At 40.3% G+C, this 17,317-nt stretch overlaps 1 protein-coding gene, 1 long non-coding RNA gene and 2 pseudogenes across 3 annotated transcripts in view, besides 1 other annotated feature; 2 read left to right on the top strand and 2 right to left on the bottom strand.

Moving 5' to 3' along the window:
• The window catches only part of PP2D1 (protein phosphatase 2C like domain containing 1), a 32,304-nt gene that overhangs the window by 2,264 nt on the left and 12,723 nt on the right, over nucleotides 1–17,317 (top strand). For both annotated transcript variants that reach the window (NR_027694.2, NM_001252657.2), the window contains exon 2: nucleotides 7,905–8,971. Coding sequence is in view for 1 of the 2 variants with exons in the window: in NM_001252657.2 (NP_001239586.1) it covers nucleotides 7,905–8,971 (1,067 nt within the window). In the remaining variant the exon portion in view is untranslated. The remainder of the gene's footprint in view (nucleotides 1–7,904; nucleotides 8,972–17,317) is intronic.
• On the bottom strand, nucleotides 1,705–6,964 carry LOC124909352 (uncharacterized). The gene is made up of 2 exons (XR_007095843.1): nucleotides 6,635–6,964; nucleotides 1,705–1,909 (listed from the first exon to the last, which is right to left on the bottom strand). It is a non-coding gene; the product is annotated as an uncharacterized LOC124909352 (long non-coding RNA).
• On the top strand, nucleotides 1,734–2,188 carry SAP18P3 (SAP18 pseudogene 3; annotated as a pseudogene).
• Nucleotides 7,069–7,210: a silencer, noted in NCBI's record as "fragment chr3:20044283-20044424 (GRCh37/hg19 assembly coordinates)". NCBI's record gives its function as "represses an EF-1alpha promoter that drives an FKBP-Casp9 reporter gene in an ReSE screen in phorbol 12-myristate 13-acetate-treated (for megakaryocytic differentiation) K562 erythroleukemia cells {active_cell/tissue: K562(+PMA)}" and the evidence as "EXISTENCE:reporter gene assay evidence [ECO:0000049][PMID:32094911]".
• RNU4-85P (RNA, U4 small nuclear 85, pseudogene) lies at nucleotides 13,076–13,198 on the bottom strand (annotated as a pseudogene).

The following is a 17,317-nucleotide window of genomic DNA, read 5'->3' as shown; positions in this document are numbered from 1 at the left end:
ATTTTGGTGTAATTTTTAAATTTTCCATTAAAAAAGGAAAAAAAAATCGTTGGTGAGGGAAAGCCATGAAGGCTTCCCAAAATTCAAATAGTTCTAAAAGTATTTATAACGTGGACATTTGTAAATAAAATTTTACTACAGGGATAAGTAGCTGTATCCAATACAGTTGTACGCTTCATGGAATTAAATACAAATAAAGTGGCAAAACATTTCAAATTTATCAGTTTTGCTTGCTTCTTTAATTTTTATTTATATTGCCACGTGTAAATCATGTATGAAGGTTGCTAAAGCCCTTTTGCCTATCACATAGTGCACTATTATTTATCGTTTATCATAGAAGGCTTTCCTTCCTAGAAGTGATTTTTGCATAATTTACAGGATTCAAATTCTACTGGCTAGCATCTTAAAGATATTTACCCTGTTTTCTATGGACATTACATTATTTTCCATTCATTTTTAATTTACATGTATTTCTTCTAATTGTTTTATTTATACAGCTCACATTTTATTTTTAATTTAATATACTTTTTGTATTTTTTTGAGACAGGGTCTCAGTCTGTCACCCAGGCTAGAGTATTGTGGCACTGTCATAGCTCACTGAAACCTCAAAATCCTGGGCTCAAGCAATTCTCCCCGCTCATTCTCCAAGTAGCTGGGACTACAGGTGTGCACCACTATGCCCAGTTAATTTTTAAGTTTTTTGTAGAGAAGGGGTTTCACTATGTTGCCCAGGCTGGTCCCCAACTCCTGGCCTCAAGCAGCCCTCTTACCTCAGCCTCCCAAAGTGTTGAGACTACAGGTGTGAGCCACTGCACCTGGCCAAGTTCATTTTCTCTTAAACCATGTAACATAGCTGTAACTAAGTGATGATATAAACAACTTACCACAACATCTTAGTAAATATGCATTACACAGTTCTCAAATACAGGTCGTTAAAACAATCCTCTCCCATCGATCTGATTGTTTCTTAATTAATTTTACATAGAACACATTTCTCCCTAAGCATTGTAATTTCATGCCTTTATGTAATGTATTTTTATTTGGCATAGTTCTCAGTGTCCTTTTCACTTAGGGCAGAATGAGCAGGCTTTTTTTTCAGTGTCCCCTAGGTACCACCAACTCTTTCACCGTTTACCTCATTTGAGGCTAAAAGCAACCTTGTGCATTTTACAGATAAGAAAGCAGATGCTCAGAGAGATTAAATGACTTGATTGAGGTTATACAGTTAGTAAATGAATTTTTTTTGTTTAAGAGACCTGGTCTCCCTCTGTAACCTAGGTGGAGTACAGTGGCGTGATCACAGCTCACTGCAGCCTCAACCTCCTGGGCTCAAGCATCCTCCAGTGTCAGCATCCTGAGTAGCTGAGATTACAGGTGTGAGCTACAGCGCCCGCCCAGGGACAGTTTTTTTGTTTGGTTGTCTTGTTTGTTTTGAGACAGAGTTTCACTCTTGTTGCCCGGGCTGGAGTGCAATGGCGTGATCTCGGCTCCCTGCAACCTCCACCTCCCGGGTTCACACGATTCTCCTGCCTCAGCCTCCCGAGTAGCTCGGATTACAGACATGAGCCACCACTCCTAGGTAATTTTGTATTTTTAGTAGAGACGGATTTCACCATGTTGGTCAGGCTGGTCTCAAACTCCCGACCTCGTGATCCGCCCTCCTCGGCCTCCCAAAGTGCTGGAATTACAGGCGTGAGCCACCGCGACCAACTTGTTTTTGTTTTTATTCAAAGTCTGAGACCGTAGGAGAAAGATGGCTGTGGAGTCGCACATTACCCAGAAGGAAATTAAGAAGGAGCTTCAGAAGCTGATCCTCACAAGCAGACAGGCCCGCTGCCGCCAGTAACAGCCGCCGCCACCGAATGGTCGAGTTCTCCGGATGAAACATACCGTCCAGCGTGCTGGCGACCTACACTTGGATAGATGCAACCTTGAAAGAACTGAGCTTAGTAAAATAAGTCTATCCAGAGGCTAGAAAGAAGGGCACACATTTCAATTTTATAGGTTTTTACAGATATTAAAAGATCTGGCTATCGAGTTAAGGAGATTGGCAGCGCCACATCTGGCAGAAAGGGGACTGGTGATTCCATGACCCCTGCAGTCACAGAAGTTACAACTAGGAGATTATTCGGACATAACGATTACTCCCACTCCTTCAGGGTTCATGAGGTCGTATTATATTCTATTTCCTATTTCTTTTATTCTCTCTCTCTCTTTTTTTTTTTTTTTTTTGAGACGGATTTTTGCTCTTGTTGCCCAGGCTGGAGTGCAATGGCATGATCTCGGCTCACCACCACCTCCGCCTCCCGGGTTCAAGCGATTCTCCTGCCTCAGCCTCCCAAGTAGCTGGAATTACAGGCATACGCCACCACGCTTGGCTAATTTTGTATTTTTAGCAGAGACGGAGTTTCTCCATGTTGGCCAGGCTGGTCTCGAACTTCTGACCTCAGGTGATCCGACAGCCTCGGCCTCCCTAAGTGCTGGGATCACAGGCGTGAGCCACCGCACCTGGCCTCTATTTACTATTTCTTGAATGTATTTTTCAGTCAGTTACGTAAAGTTACATGCTTTTTCCTCCCCTGAAAAAAAAATCCTAAGTCTACATTTTTCACAACAGAGTCAGTCCTCCATATCTGAAGGTTCTGCATCTGTGAATTCAACCAACTTTGGATAGAAAATATTCCCAAAATACCTCCTAAAATAATAATACTAATAAACCAATACAACAATAAAATAATACAAATAAAAATACAGTATAAGAACTATTTACATAGCATTTACATTGATTATGTATATTCTATCAAGAGATGATTTAAAGTATACAGGAGGGCCCGGGTGCGGTGGCTTACGCCTGTAATCCTAGGACTTTGGGAGGCAGAGCTGGGCGGATCACTTGAGTCAGGAGTTCAAGACGAGCCTGGGCCAACATGGTGAAAACTCATCTCTACTAAAAATACAATATATATACGTGTGTGTGTGTGTGTGTGTGTGTATACGTGTGTGTGTGTGTATACATATATATGTGTGTATATATATGTATATATATATACACACATACGTATATATATTTTAGGCGGGCATCTGTAATCCCAGCTACTTGGGAGGCTGAGGCGAGAGAATTGCTTGAACACAGGAGGCAGAGGTTGCAGTGAGCCCAGATCACACAACTGCACTCCAGCCTGGGCGACAGAGCAAGACTCCGTCTCAAATAAATAAATAAACAAGTATACGGGAGGGCCGATGCAGTAGCTCACACCTGTAATCCTAGCGCTTTGGGAGGCTGAGGCAGGGCGGGTGGATCACATGAGGCCAGGAGTTCAAGACCAGCTTGGCCAACATGGCAAAAACTCATCTCTACTAAAAATGAAAAAATTAGCCAGGCGTGGTGGTGCACGCCTGTAGTTACAGCTACTATGGAGGCAGAGGTGGGAGGATGGCTTGAGCCCAGGAGTTCTAGGCCACTGCACTCCTGGGTGACACAGTGAGGCAACATACAAGGAAGATGCAAATACTACGCCATTTATATCAGGGACCTAAGCATCCTTAGATTTTTGTATCCATGCATGGAGAGGGTGGTCTTGGAACCAAGCCCCACAGATACCTAGGGACGATGTATATTGTTTTGTTTTTCCATATTCAAACTTCCTGTGCATGACCTAGCATTTACTGAAAACATCAGATTTTAGGATGGTATGCAAAATGGGTCCCTACTTGCCTTCAGAAAATGTATTTGTTTATTTGTTTGTTTTTGTTTTTGAACAGTGTCTCGCTCTGTCGCCCAGGCTGGAGTGCAGTGGCTTGATCTTGGCTCACTGCAACCTCCACTTCCCAGGTTCATTCAATTCTCCTGCCTCAGCCTCCCGAGTAGCTGAGATTACAGGTGTGCCATCACGCCCATCTAATTTTTGGGGTACTATTAGTAGAGACAGGGTTCCACCATGTTGGCTGGGCTAGTCCCAAACTCCTGACCTCAAGTGACCCACCTGCCTTGGCCTCCCAAAGTGCTGGGATTATGCGTGAGCCACTGCACAGGGCCAGAAAAGATCTTATATTCAAATTTATATTTGGAAAGATAGATAACATAATTACTATTGGGGCTGGGGTTTGTTGCCCAGGCTGGAGTACAATGGCTTGATCTCAGCTCACCGCAACCTCCACCTCCCGGGTTCAAGTGGGGTGGGAAGACAAAAACATTCTTTTGTTTTCTACTTTGTATCCTTCTGCATTGAACTTAAGAACATGACGATGCATACCTTTTATAATAAAATATATTTCATTATTATTATCATATTGTCATTATAATTAAGTGGGTTAATTTCTTATCTAACTACCAACTATCTATAGAATATCAATAGATACTCAACTGTTGAATATCTATTATGTGTCTGAGATGTTTTAAGTACTTAGAGGCTCCAAGTATTCTTAGTGTCGTAGGCTCCATCCCTCATTACTCTAACACATTAAAAGGTACCCATCTCAAATACAATTTATATATGAACTGAGTTGAAGTTGACTAGTTTTTGTAATGTCACATTTCATAAATATTTATGGCTGGGCACAGTGGCTAATGCCTGTAATCCCAGCACTTTGGGAGGCTGAGGCAGGTAGGTCACCTGAGGTCGGGAGTTCAAGACGAGCCTAACCAACATGGAGAAACACTGTCTCTACTAAAAATACAAAATTAGCCAGGTGTGGTGGTGCATGCCTGTAATCCCAGCTACTTGGGAGGCTGAGGCAGGAGAAACGCTTGAACCCAGGAGGTGGAGGTTGCGGTGAGCCGAGATTGCGCCCTTGTACTCCAGGCTGGGCAACAAGAGCGAAACTCCGTCTCAAAAAAAATAAATTTAAAAAAAAAAATGTATATATAAAGTTATTTATTTATTTATTTTTGAGACAGGGTCTCGATCTGTAGCCCACGCTGGAGTGTCGTGGTGCAATCATGGCTCACTGCAGCTTCCACCTCCCAGGCTCAAGAAATCCTCCCACCTCAGCCTCCTGAGTAGCTCGGACTACAGGCATGCATACCATCACACCTGATTTTCTTTTTTTAATTGTTAATAGAGACGAGGCCTCACTATGTTGCCCAGGCTGGTCTCAAACTCCTGGCCTCAAGTGATCTCCCTGCCTTGGCCTCCCAAAGTGCTGGGATTATAGGTATGAGCCACTGCACCCAGCTAACTTTGATTTTTATCAAGTTTTAAAATATTTTGTAACCAAAGTATTTTTTTTTCTGGTCTCTAACTTTTCATAGGCCCTTGAAAATATCTCATGCCCTAGAAATTGTACATGAAATGGATAAAAATGGCCCCAGGTGCCGAGTACAGTACTAGATGTTTCTGATAGGAAGGCGTATAAAATGATGCCTGCTTTCCAGAAATATATCATCCAGCTCTACATCTTTTCTTTCCTATCCTCGCCCTGTACCTCTTTGTTGTAGTTTTTAAAAAAATTCTGTCCTTACTATCAATTCTTTTTCTTATTCTGCTGGGTTTTGGCATAATCCATTCATTTTCTTGTGAACTCTCTAATTAGAACACAAGTGTTTTAAGGCAGACGAAATGCAGTACAAAAGTAATTACAATCATGCATCATTTAACGATGGGGATACTTTCTGAGAAGTGCATTGTTAGGCAATGTCGCTGTTGTGTGAACGTCATAGAGTGTACTTACACAAACCTAGATGGTGCAGCCTACTAACACCTGGGCTATATGCTATAGCCTATTGCTCCTGGGCTACAAACCTGTACAGTGCGTTACTGTAGTGAATACTGTAGGCAATTGTAACACATGGTAAGTATTTGTGTACCTAAACACAGAAGAGGTACAATAAGACATTGTACAAAGAATAAAAAATGCAACATTTTAAAATAGGGGACTTACCATGAATAAAGCTTGCAGGACTGGAAGTCCCTCTGGGTGTCAGTGAGTGATGAGTGTGAAGGTCTAGCACATTATTGCACACTACTGCAGATGTTATAAACCCAATACACTTAGGTTACACTAACCTTATAAACTATTTTTTCTTCAATAATAAATTGATCTTAGCTTACAGTAACTTTTTACTTTGTAAACGTTTAAATTTTTACAACTTTTTGATTCTTTTGTAACATTTGGCTTAAAAGACAAAAACATTGTACAGCTGTACAAAAAGTACTTGCTTCATATCCTTATTCTAGGGGCTTTTTTCTGTTTTTAATTTTTTGATTAAAATTTTAACTAAAATTTTAAATTATTTATTTATTTATCTTTTGAGATGGAGTCTCACTCTGTCACCCAGGCTGGAGTGCAGTGGCGCCATCTCTGCTCACTGCAGCCTCCGCCTCCTGTCTCCTGGGTTCAAGCAATTCTCCCGCCTCAGCCTCCCAAGTAGCTGGGATTATAGGCATAAGCCACCACGCTCAGCTAATTTTTTGTATTTTTAGTAGAAACGGGGTTTCACCATGTTGGCCAGGCTGGTCTCGAACTCCTGACCTCAGGTGATCCACCCGCCTCGGCCTCCCAAAGTGTTGGGATTACAGGTGTGAGCCATCGCGCCCAGCTAAATTTTATTTTTATTAAAAAATTAAAATTATTTTTAAATTTTAAAACTTTTTAACCTTTTTTTTAAAAAAAAAAACAAAACTAAAATACACACCTTGGCCTACACAGAGTTGGGATTGTGACTGTCTTTCATCTCCACATCTTGTCCCACTGGAAGGTCTTCAGGAGCAATAACACACGGAGTTGTCATCTATGTTAACAATGCCTTCTTCTGGAATACCTCCTGGAGGGCCTGTCTGAGGTTGTTTTACAGTTAATTTTTTTTTTAATATAAGGAGTTCACTCTAAAATAACAATAAAAAGTATACTATCATAAACACATAAGCCAGCCACATAGTAATTTATCATTATCAGGTATTACGTTCTGTACATACTTGTATTTGCTATACTTTTTTTTTTTCTTTTTGAGATGGAGTCTTGCTCTGTCACCCAGGCTGGAGTGCAGTGGCACCATCTCGGCTCACTGCAACCTCCGTCTCCCAGGTTCAAGCAATTCTCCTGCCTCAGCCTCCTGAGTAACTGGGATTACAGGCACCTGCCACCATGCCCAGCTAATTTTTTGTATTTTCAGTAGAGATGGGGTTTCACCATGTTGGCCAGGCTGGTCTTGAACTCCTGACCCCGTGATCAGCCCGCCTCAGCCTCCTAAAGTGCTGGGATTACAGGTGTGAGCCACCGCGCCCGAACTAGTTTTTGTATTTTTAGTAGAGACAGGGTTACACCATGTTGGCCAGGCTGGTCTTGAACTCCTGACCTCAAGTGATCCGCCCACTTCGGCCTCCCAAAGTGTTGGGATTACAGGCGTGAGCCACCGTGCCTGGCCTTCTATTTGCTATACTTTTATTTGACTGGCAGCACAGTAGGTTTGTTGACACCAGCATCACAAAAACATAAGTGACATGTTGCACTTTATGACATTGAGACAACAATGATGTCACTAGGCAGTAGGAATTTTTTGGCTCCATTATAATCTTTTGGTACCACCGTTGCATATGGTCCATCATTGCCTGAAACATCATTATGCAATACATGACTGTATGTCCATATTAGAAATCAGAATCTCAGGTCTCAAATACATACTTTCGCATGTCTAAGGTAAAATACTGTGCTGATTTATCTGAGCATTTGCTTAGATGTCTAGCTGACTTTTTGGAATTTTTGCCTAATTTATTTCAGGGAGACACAGGTCAATCACCAGTTAATTGAGTACTTACATGTTTTTTGAGAAATATGACTCAGAATATTTAATCCTAGGCTTATATAAGATTGTGAGGAGCCAAATCAAATTGCAATGATAACAGCCTGCTTGAAGAGATTTTCGCTGCATCATCCTGGCATGTAAATATCTTTCATCCTGTTTGCAGAGTGTTTTGGAAATCAAGAGAATGGAATATGAAAACATCAACATTTGATTCAGATGAGGATATTCTACTTTTACCCAAAAGAAAACGTTTTAGAAAGAAAAAGTCAAGACCAGTGAGACACACCAAACGCCATGAAGAGGAGCAGGTCTATGAGCAAGGGACCACATTACCCTGTTCCATATGCAAGCACGAAATTGACCTAACTGGTATTTTTCTCCATAAGAAGCAACATGTAGCTCTGGCCACGCTGGGTTTCCAATGGATGGGTAGAAAGAAACCACAGCCCTCAGTGATTGCTGTTCAGAGACAGTTCATGATTTCTAAACTATTGTCATCTTTTATGTTCACTGAAAAAACCCTACAGAGCATTAATAATGCTTTTGAGCTGCTTTGGAAAAAACAAATACCAGCATACTATAAGATTTTTGATAACATTGACAGGAGTGTCATATATTCTCAAAAAATATGTCATCTGTTAATTAAAGGAGTGGGCATTTGTGAAGACAGGAATTCTACATGGAAAGCTGACATGAATGATAAATTCACTGTAGTGAGTAATTTTGGTAACAAACCTAATGTGTGTTTTTTTGGTTTGTTTGATGGACATCACGGTGCCTCAGCGGCAGAGTTGACATCAATGGAACTCCCAGTTTTACTTCTCCATCAGCTTTCCAAATTTGATCCTTCTTACCAAATGACAACTGATGAGCAACAAATAATCAATTCCTTTTACACTGTGTTTAGAGAAGAATACGCAGCAATAGAAGACCTCTTTTCTGCCATAAACAAAACAGAAGCAGTGAGGTGTGAGTATGAGGACACACACAAAGCCTTTGCAAAAGCATTTTGGAGAATGGATAGGCTTTTAGGTCTTGGAAGAAAAGAAGTGTCCAGGGTTCAATGGAGTGGCTGCTCTGCAGTTACTTGTATATTGGAAGGCAAACCTAAAAGTCCTTATGCTCATAAGAATTGGAAAAGAAAAAATACCCATGATGGGTTGGCAGAGAGCTCCCCTTCCCAGGAGATGCCAAAAATAATTTCTGGAATATTACATGTTGCAAACACTGGTATGTACATTGAATAGCACCAAATAACACCTTTATGTTTTTGGTTCCTTGCAGCAAAACCCCTCATGCTTCCACAATTTTTTATTGTCTATTATTTAGTGACTTAGTACCTAGAAATTGCATTGATCAATATAAGAAACAACAAATAACCACAATTTAAATGCAGATTGCAGGCACAAAAATAATTGTAATTATTTTTTAAAGAGGCACAGATATGATATAATGTGACAAATACGTTAAAGTTTCCCAAAGGGGTAGCAACACAGTTGTTGATAAGGATGAAAAGCAAAGTTACTACATATGCTTAAATCTGAACAAAATTAAAAACATTTTGTACACTTCCTTTTTTCAGAAAAATGGAAAGTTGTTTGCTCATTGTTAGTGTAGTTGTTTAAATTGGTCAGTTACTCTGATAACTGTATTTGCAATAGGTCATTCTCATGCTCACTGGCCAAGTAGCATCTATTTCATCTCAGAGAGAATAATAGTTCATGCCTCAGTTTTATGAGCGTGTATTCTCTTCTTTAAGAAGTTACCTGTATTGTTTAAAGGTTATTTCAGGGAGTTTAGGAACTTGCCAAAATGGAAAGCTCAGAGGTAAAACTTTTTAGCAAAATTGACATGAGTTCCACACTGAGTTCCATGAGATACTTAACTACAGTTCTACTACCCTTTTCATAGATAGAATTATCATTAATGATAGTGTCCACTTACTGAATATTGAATACAGAGTAATTTCCTCGTCTAGTCTTACAATAACTTTGATATCTAGTGATATCTAAGTATTGTTAACCCAATGTTTCAGATGAGAAATTAAAGCTAAAAAATGTGAGATAATTTGTTCAAGGTCTCAGAAGTAATAGGAATTGGAGTTGGAAATCAGTCCTACCATATCATGTTACCTCTTAAGGGGATTGTTTCCAAAGCCTGAGGAGGCTGGGCCTCCGCGAGTGGGACTTTGTGGCAGAGACAGTGTTGCAAGGCCAGATAATCACAAAGAATACTACAACAAATGTCAAGGTGCCAGAAAGTCAGCCTGTTTCTGATCCAACCTGGTTCTGAGCCTGAAATGTCAAGGGCTCCAGACTAAACAATACCAAGAAAGCTAAGTGCATGTCCACTGCCTCACAGTCTTTGTCGTTTCTCAGGCTCTATGCTGAGGTTCCAAATACTTCATAGACATAATCATTACAGATTTAAGGCCAATCTGTGAACTGACCCATATTCTTGGAATTGGGACCCCTATGGAAGATATCATTAATTATAAAAGTCTTTGTAAAATTAATATGACAAATTATGACATATTCAATAAGTGGATACTGTCATTAAATGTCTAGACACAGCTGTGGGTGGTGGCTCACGCCTGTAATTCCAGCACTTTGGGAGGCCGAGGTGGGTGGATCACCTCAGGTCAGGAGTTTGAGACCAGCCTGGCCAACATAGTGAAACCCCGTCTTTACTAAAAATACAAAAAAAAAAAAAAATTAGCCAGGCGTGGCAGGTGCCTGTAATCCCAGCTACTCAGGAGGCTGAGGCAGGAGAATCGCTTGAGCCTGAGAGGCGGAGGTTGCAGTGAGCTGAGATCACACCACTGCACTCCAGACTGGGCAACAAAGAGAGACTCCGTCTCCAAAAAAATAAAAAATAAAAAAATGGCTGGGCGCGGTGGCTGACGCCTGTAACCAGCATTTTGGGAGGCCAAGGCGGGTGGATCACGAGGTCAGGAGATCGAGACCATCCTGGCCAACCTGGTGAAACCCTGTCTTTCCTAAAAATACAAAAATTAGCTGGGAGTGGTGGTGCATGCCTGTAATCCCAGCTACTCAGGAGGCTGTGGCAGGAGAATGGTGTGAACCCAGGAGGCGGAGGTTGCAGTGAGCTGAGATCATGCCACTGCACTCCAGCCTGGTAACAGAGCAGGACTCTGTCTCAAAAAAAAAAAAAAAAAGTCTAGACACACTGCTGATTGGTTGGTTCTAATCTCCAGGTCAAACAGTTGGATTTAATTTCCAGGCCTATACAATGGTGTTAAACTGTTTGCATCTAGGCATGTTGCATTTTCATAGAAAGACACATGGGTGAAAAAAATTCAAATTGTAAAAGAGAGAACCTGAGGTCATGATTTAGCTACAAAAGTACTTCTGTAAGAAAGAACTTTAAATGACTTTCAGCCATAAGAAAATAATTTTACACAAATTTTTCAAGAATTATTTTGTATTTTATAGAACAGGATTAATTATAGCAAGGGAATTAGGTTTCCCTGTTTAAAATTCATAATATATCAATGTCATCATGACTCTAGAATTTAAAAAAAATTATTACCTTATAATGACATATTAGTTCAATGATGAAGCCATTGAATACAGGTTGAATTTGTGCATGTAGAAAAAGGTACTGCCAAACTCACATTCTTTTTAAAAATGTTTATCTATTTTATTGATACATAATAATTATAAATATTCATGGGGTACCTGTGGCATTTTGATATATGCATATAATATGTAATGATCAAATCAGAGTATTTAAGATATTCATCACCTGAAATGTGTATTATTTCTTTGTGTTGGGAACACTTCAACTCTTCTAGCTATTTTAAGATATACAGTGAATTATTGTTAACTATAGTCACCCTAATGTGCTATCAAACACTAGAACTTATTCCTTGTCTCTAACTGTATGTTTGCACCTTTTTTTTTTTTTGAGACGGAGTCTCACTCTGTTGCCTAGGCTGGAGTGCAGTGGCGCGATCTTGGCTCACTGCAATCTCCGCCTCCCGGGTTTAAGCCATTCTCCTGCCTCAGCCTTCTGAGTAGCTGGGATAACAGGTGCATGCCACCACGGCTGGACAATTTTTGTATTTTTAGTAGAGACAGGGTTTCACCATGCTGGTCAGGCTGGTCCCAAACTCCTGGCCTCAGGTGACCCACCCTCCTCTGCCTCCCAAAGTGCTAGTATTACAGACGTGAGCCACCGTGCCCAGCCTATTTTTGTATTTTTAGTAGAGACAGAGTTTCAACATGTTGGTCAGCCTGGTCTCGAACTCCTGACCTTGTGATCTGCTCATCTCAGCCTCCCAAAAGTGCTGGGATTACAGGGGTGAGCCACTGTGCCTGGACTGTTTGTACTTATTAACCAACCTTACTTTATCTCGTCCTGCCCCGTCCCCAACCTTTCCCAATCTTTGGTAACCATCATTCTGCTTTACCTCATTGAGATCAACAATTTTTAGGACCCACATATGAGAGAGAACATGTAATGTTTGTCTTTCTGGTCTGGCTTATTTCACTTAACATAATGCCCTCAGTTCCATCCATGTTGCTACAAATGACAGAATTTCCTTCTTTTTCATGGCTTCATAGTATTCCGTTGTGTACTTATACTACATTTTCTTTACCCATTCATCTACTGATGGACATTAAGTTGACCCTGTATCTTTACTATTGTGAATAGTGCTGCATAAAACGTGGGGGTGCAGGTATCTCCTTGATATCCATTGGCTACATACTCAGTAGTGGGATCTGCTCCCCATGACTCAAACATCTATCAGAACCCATCTCCAACATTGTTGATAAAATTTCAACATGATGTTTGGGGGGAACAAAAATACATACCATAGCAGGGCCTTTATTATGTTGAGACATGTTTCTTCTATGCCTAATTTGTTGAGAATTTTTATCATGAAGAGATGTTGAATTTTATCAGAAAAATTTGGGGGGCATTTATTGAGATAATCATATGGTATTTCTCCTTCATTCTGTTGGTAATGTGTCATATTTATTTTATTTTTAATGCTTGCTGTATTACAAGTCGTCACGGTGGGCTATTTATCATACTCAGTAGTGGGATCTGCTCCCCATGACTCAAACATCTATCAGAACCCATCTCCAGCATTGTTGATAAAATTTCAACATGATGTTTGGGGTAAACAAAAATACATACCATAGCAGGGCCTTTCTTCTGTTGAGATATGTTTCTTCTATGCCTAATTTGTTGAGAAGTTTTATCATGAAGAGATGTTAAATTTATCAAAAAAATTTTTGGCCATCTATTGAGGTTATCATATGGTATTTCTCCTTCATTCTGTTGGTAATGTGTCATATTTATTTTATTTTTAATGCTTGCTGTATTACAAGTCGTCACGGTGAGCTATGGGGAAAAGTTTTCAATTAGCAATAATCACAACGTGGCTAAACCTCACTGGCTATGATACTGCCTCTGCACAAAGCTTCACATTTATTGATTTCTGTGTGAACCATCCTTGCATCCCTGGAATAAATCCCACTTGATCATGGTGCTTTTTTTAAAAAAAAAAATATGTTGTTTGATTCAGCTTGCTAGTATTTTGTTGAGGATTTTCACATCTACATTCATCAGGGATATTGGCCTATAGTTTTCTTCTTTGTTGTTGTGTGTTTTCTGATTTTGGTATCCAGGTAATGCTGGGCTCATGGAATGAGTTAAAAAGAATTCCTTCCTCTTCAATTTTCTGAAAGTTTGAGAAGAATTGGTGTTAATTCTTTTTTATAAGTTTGGTAGAATTCAGCAGTGAAGCCATCTGGTCCCGGGCTTTTCATTTGGGGGACTTTTTATTACTGACTCAATCCTGCTACTTGTTATTTGTCTGTTCAGGTTTTCTATTTCCTCCTAGTCCAATCTTGGTAGGGTTGTAAGTGTCCACGTGTTTATCCATTTCCTCTAGGTTTTCTAATTTGTTAGGGTATAGTTGTTCAAATAGTCTCTAATGATCTTTTGTTTTTTAGTGGCATCTGTTGTAATGTCTCCTTTTTCATTTCTGATTTTTTTGGGATTTTCTCTCTTTTTTCTTGTTTAGGCTAGCTAATGGTTTATTGACTTTTAAAATCTTTTCATAAAAACAACCTTTTGTTTTATTGCTCCTATGTGTATTTTTTAGTGTCTACCTTGGTTAATTCTGCTCTGATCTTTATTTTTTTTGCTTCTATTAATTTTGAGTTTAGTTTGTCCTGGATTTCCTAGTTTCTTGCAGTGCATTGTTACGTTGTTTATTTGGAGTTTATTACTATAAATTTCCCTATTAGTATCACTTTTGCTGCATCCCATAGGTTTTGGTATGTTATATTTTGATTTTCATTTGTTTCAAGAAGTTTTTGATTTCCTTTATAATTTCTTCACTGACCCTATGATTGTTGAGGAGCATGTTGTTTAATTTCCATGTATTTGTACAATTTCCAATGTTCCTCTTGCTATTGATTACTAGTTCTATTCCATTGTGGTATGAAAAGATACTACTTTTAAAAAATCATATATGTCTCTAACTTTTGAACAAATGGCATACAGTTATAATAACTTATATCCATGCCTGCTAATTGCAACATCTGTGCCATTTTGGAGTTGGTTTCAATTGATTGACTTTTCACTTATCGTGGGTGTTATTTTCCTTCTTATTGGCATGCCTGGTGTACTAGTTTCCTAAGGCTGCTGTAACAAGTTACCACGAACTTGGTGGCTTAAAACAGCAAACATTTATTCTCTCATGCTTCAGGAGGCCAGATGCCTGAAGTCAAGGTGTTCACAGGGCCATGCCTCTTCTAGGGTAGAAATCCTTCCTTGGGTCTTCCAGCTTATGGTGGCTCCAGGCATTCCCTCACCCACAGCTGTATAATTCCAGTCTCTGCCTTGACTTTCACATGGCATTTTACTGTTCCACCCATGTGTCTCTACTCTGTGTATCTCTTACAAAGACATTTCTCATTGGAATTTGGGCCCGCCTGGATAATCCAGAATGGTATCATTTTGAAATCCTTAACTACAACCGCAAAAACTTTTTTTTTTGCCAATAAGAACACATTGACAGGTTGTGGGTGTTAGGAGTAAATTTGTGTTTTTGGATATATGGTTTTCAGCTTTGTTTTGGGATGAAATTACTTGGAAATAGTTTGATCCTTTTAGATCCTGTTTTTGTAATTTATTAGGCAAGTCCAGGGCAGTGTTGAGTTTGGTCCAATTATTCTCTACTACTGAGGCAAAACATTCCTAAGCATGCTACCTAATGATTCACGAATTAATATCTTTTCAGTCTGGCTGGTTGGAACAGGAATTATTCTCCAGCCCTATGAGTCCTCAGCAATGCTCCCTCTAATCCTTTTCAAATGTTTCTTTTCCCAGTGTTGTGGAGTTTCCTCACACACATGTATTCACCAGTACCCATCTAAACACTTGAGAAAGACTCACTTGAGAAAGACCCTCGAAAGATATCTGGAATACTCTGTGCCTCTCTTTTCTCTCTGGTATTCTGTCCTCAGCAAGCTCTAGCTGCATTGGTTTCCCTGGACTCTTGGCTCTGTCTCTTCAAAACAGATGAAAGTGTAAATCCAGTCACTGTTATTGTATCTTGACCAGAAAGATAAGAAATTCCATATAATATATGTTTAGGGGAATTATTTGAGAGATGTGTCATCCAGAGTACTGCATTTGCTCCTGCCTGGTGTCTGCCTGTTGACACTATCAATATGTACTAAGTGATCCATTTGAGGCTTTCAGACTACAAATACATGAAGGTTGGTGGTTTCACATTCTTTGTTTTGCAGAGATGGGGTGTTGTTATATTGCCCAGGCTGGTCTCGAACTCTTGGACTCAAGTGATCCTCCCATTTGGCCTCCCAAAGTGCTCTGATGCTTTGATGAGCTTTAATCTTCTAATGTATTAAACATGTGATTATCCTTTCCTCACAGGATTACAGATGTGAGCTACAATGTCAAGCCAGTTCCAAGTTCTTTGTAGCTTCCTTTCTTCCCTCTTTCTCTCTTTGGCCTAATTTGAAATAGTCATTTTTTCTGTAGTCTGTGTGGTGGCAACAGGCATAGGTTTATTTTTGGTTCACTGTTTCAGTGAGGCCATCATCCTCTGGGGTCCTAGCTTTGTTGTGGTGAGCCATTTAGTCTTCCCCATCTTGGACAATCCCTAGGTTTTGTCTCCTGTTTCATAAACCTGTGATTTTTTTTTTTTTAAGACAGAATTGGGCCTGGTGCAGTGGCTCACTCCTGTAATCCCAGAACTTTGGGAGGCCGAGGTGGGTGGATCACAAGGTCAGGAGTTCAAGACCAGCCTGGCCAACATGGTGAAACCCAATCTCTACTAAAAAATACAAAAATTAGCCGGGGGTGGGCACCTGTAATCCCAGCTACTTGGGAGGCTGAGGCAGAGAATTGCTTGAACCTGGGAGGTAGAGGTTGCAGTGAGCTGAGATCGCACTACTGCACTCCAGCCTGGGCGACAGAGCGAGACTCCGTCTCAAAACAAACAAACAAACAAACAAACAGTCTTGCTCTGTTATCCACACTGGAGTAGAGTGGCTCGATCTTGGCTCACTGCAACCTCCACCTCCCGGATTCAGGGTCCAAGCGATTCTCCTGCCTCAGCCTCCCAAGGAGCTAAGATTACTGGCATGTGCCACCATGCCCAGCTAATTTTGTTTTATGTAAAGACGGGGTTTCACCATGTTGGCCAGGCTGGTCTCAAACTCCTGACCTTAAGTGATCCACCTGCTTTGGCCTCCCAAAGTGCTGGGATTATAGGTATGAGCCACTGCACCTGGCCACCTTGTGAAAATTTAACGTGGATTCGGCTCAATACATGGTCTCAGGTAAAAGCTGGTTTCTGCTCTTGGTATACCTGAATTTAGTCATTATTCGTCTTGAGTATTTTGCACTTTCTGCTATATTATCCAGGATATTTACTTGTTCTCAGTGGAAGGGTCAATCTAAGATCCAGACTGCCCCATTACTGCTCCTTTTTGAGTGCTTTAGTGTATCTGTTATTCCAATATCTTTATGTCTAGATTGTACATTTGTTAATAATTCTTTTTAATGAGGCCCTGTAAACTACTTTTATTTCTAGTGTCCTAGCTTTCTGTCTCATAAGCTCACAGTAGATTCAGAGACCAGGCACAACTTTACCCACCATTTCACAACTTTACCCACTATTTCTCTATTACTCTTTTTCTTTTTCTTTTGAGATGAGGTTTTGCTATGTAGCCAGGAGTGCAGTGGTTATTCTTAGGCTCACTCAGAGGATACTGCAGCCTGGAACCCCTAGCCTCAAGCGGTCCTCCTGCCTCAGCCTCCCAAGTAGCTAGGCCTTCAGCCTGCGCCACCACAGCTGGCTATCACAATTTTTAAATTGGTGGCCACCTGAAGCCCCCTTCCCTTCTCAAGATTGCCACGTCACTCCTTTCATCTAATCTTCAAAATCTGTGAGGAAAGGATAATCACATTTTTAATATATCAGAAGACTAAAGCTCATCAAAGCATTATACAAGGTTATATAACCAGTGAGTGAGCCAGGACTCCAGTCTTTCAGGCTTGAAG

The sequence above is a fragment of the Homo sapiens genome, chromosome 3 (genome assembly GCF_000001405.40).
Source record: "Homo sapiens chromosome 3, GRCh38.p14 Primary Assembly".
NCBI lineage: Eukaryota > Metazoa > Chordata > Mammalia > Primates > Hominidae > Homo > Homo sapiens.
This window is presented reverse-complemented; position numbering and strand designations above follow the sequence as displayed.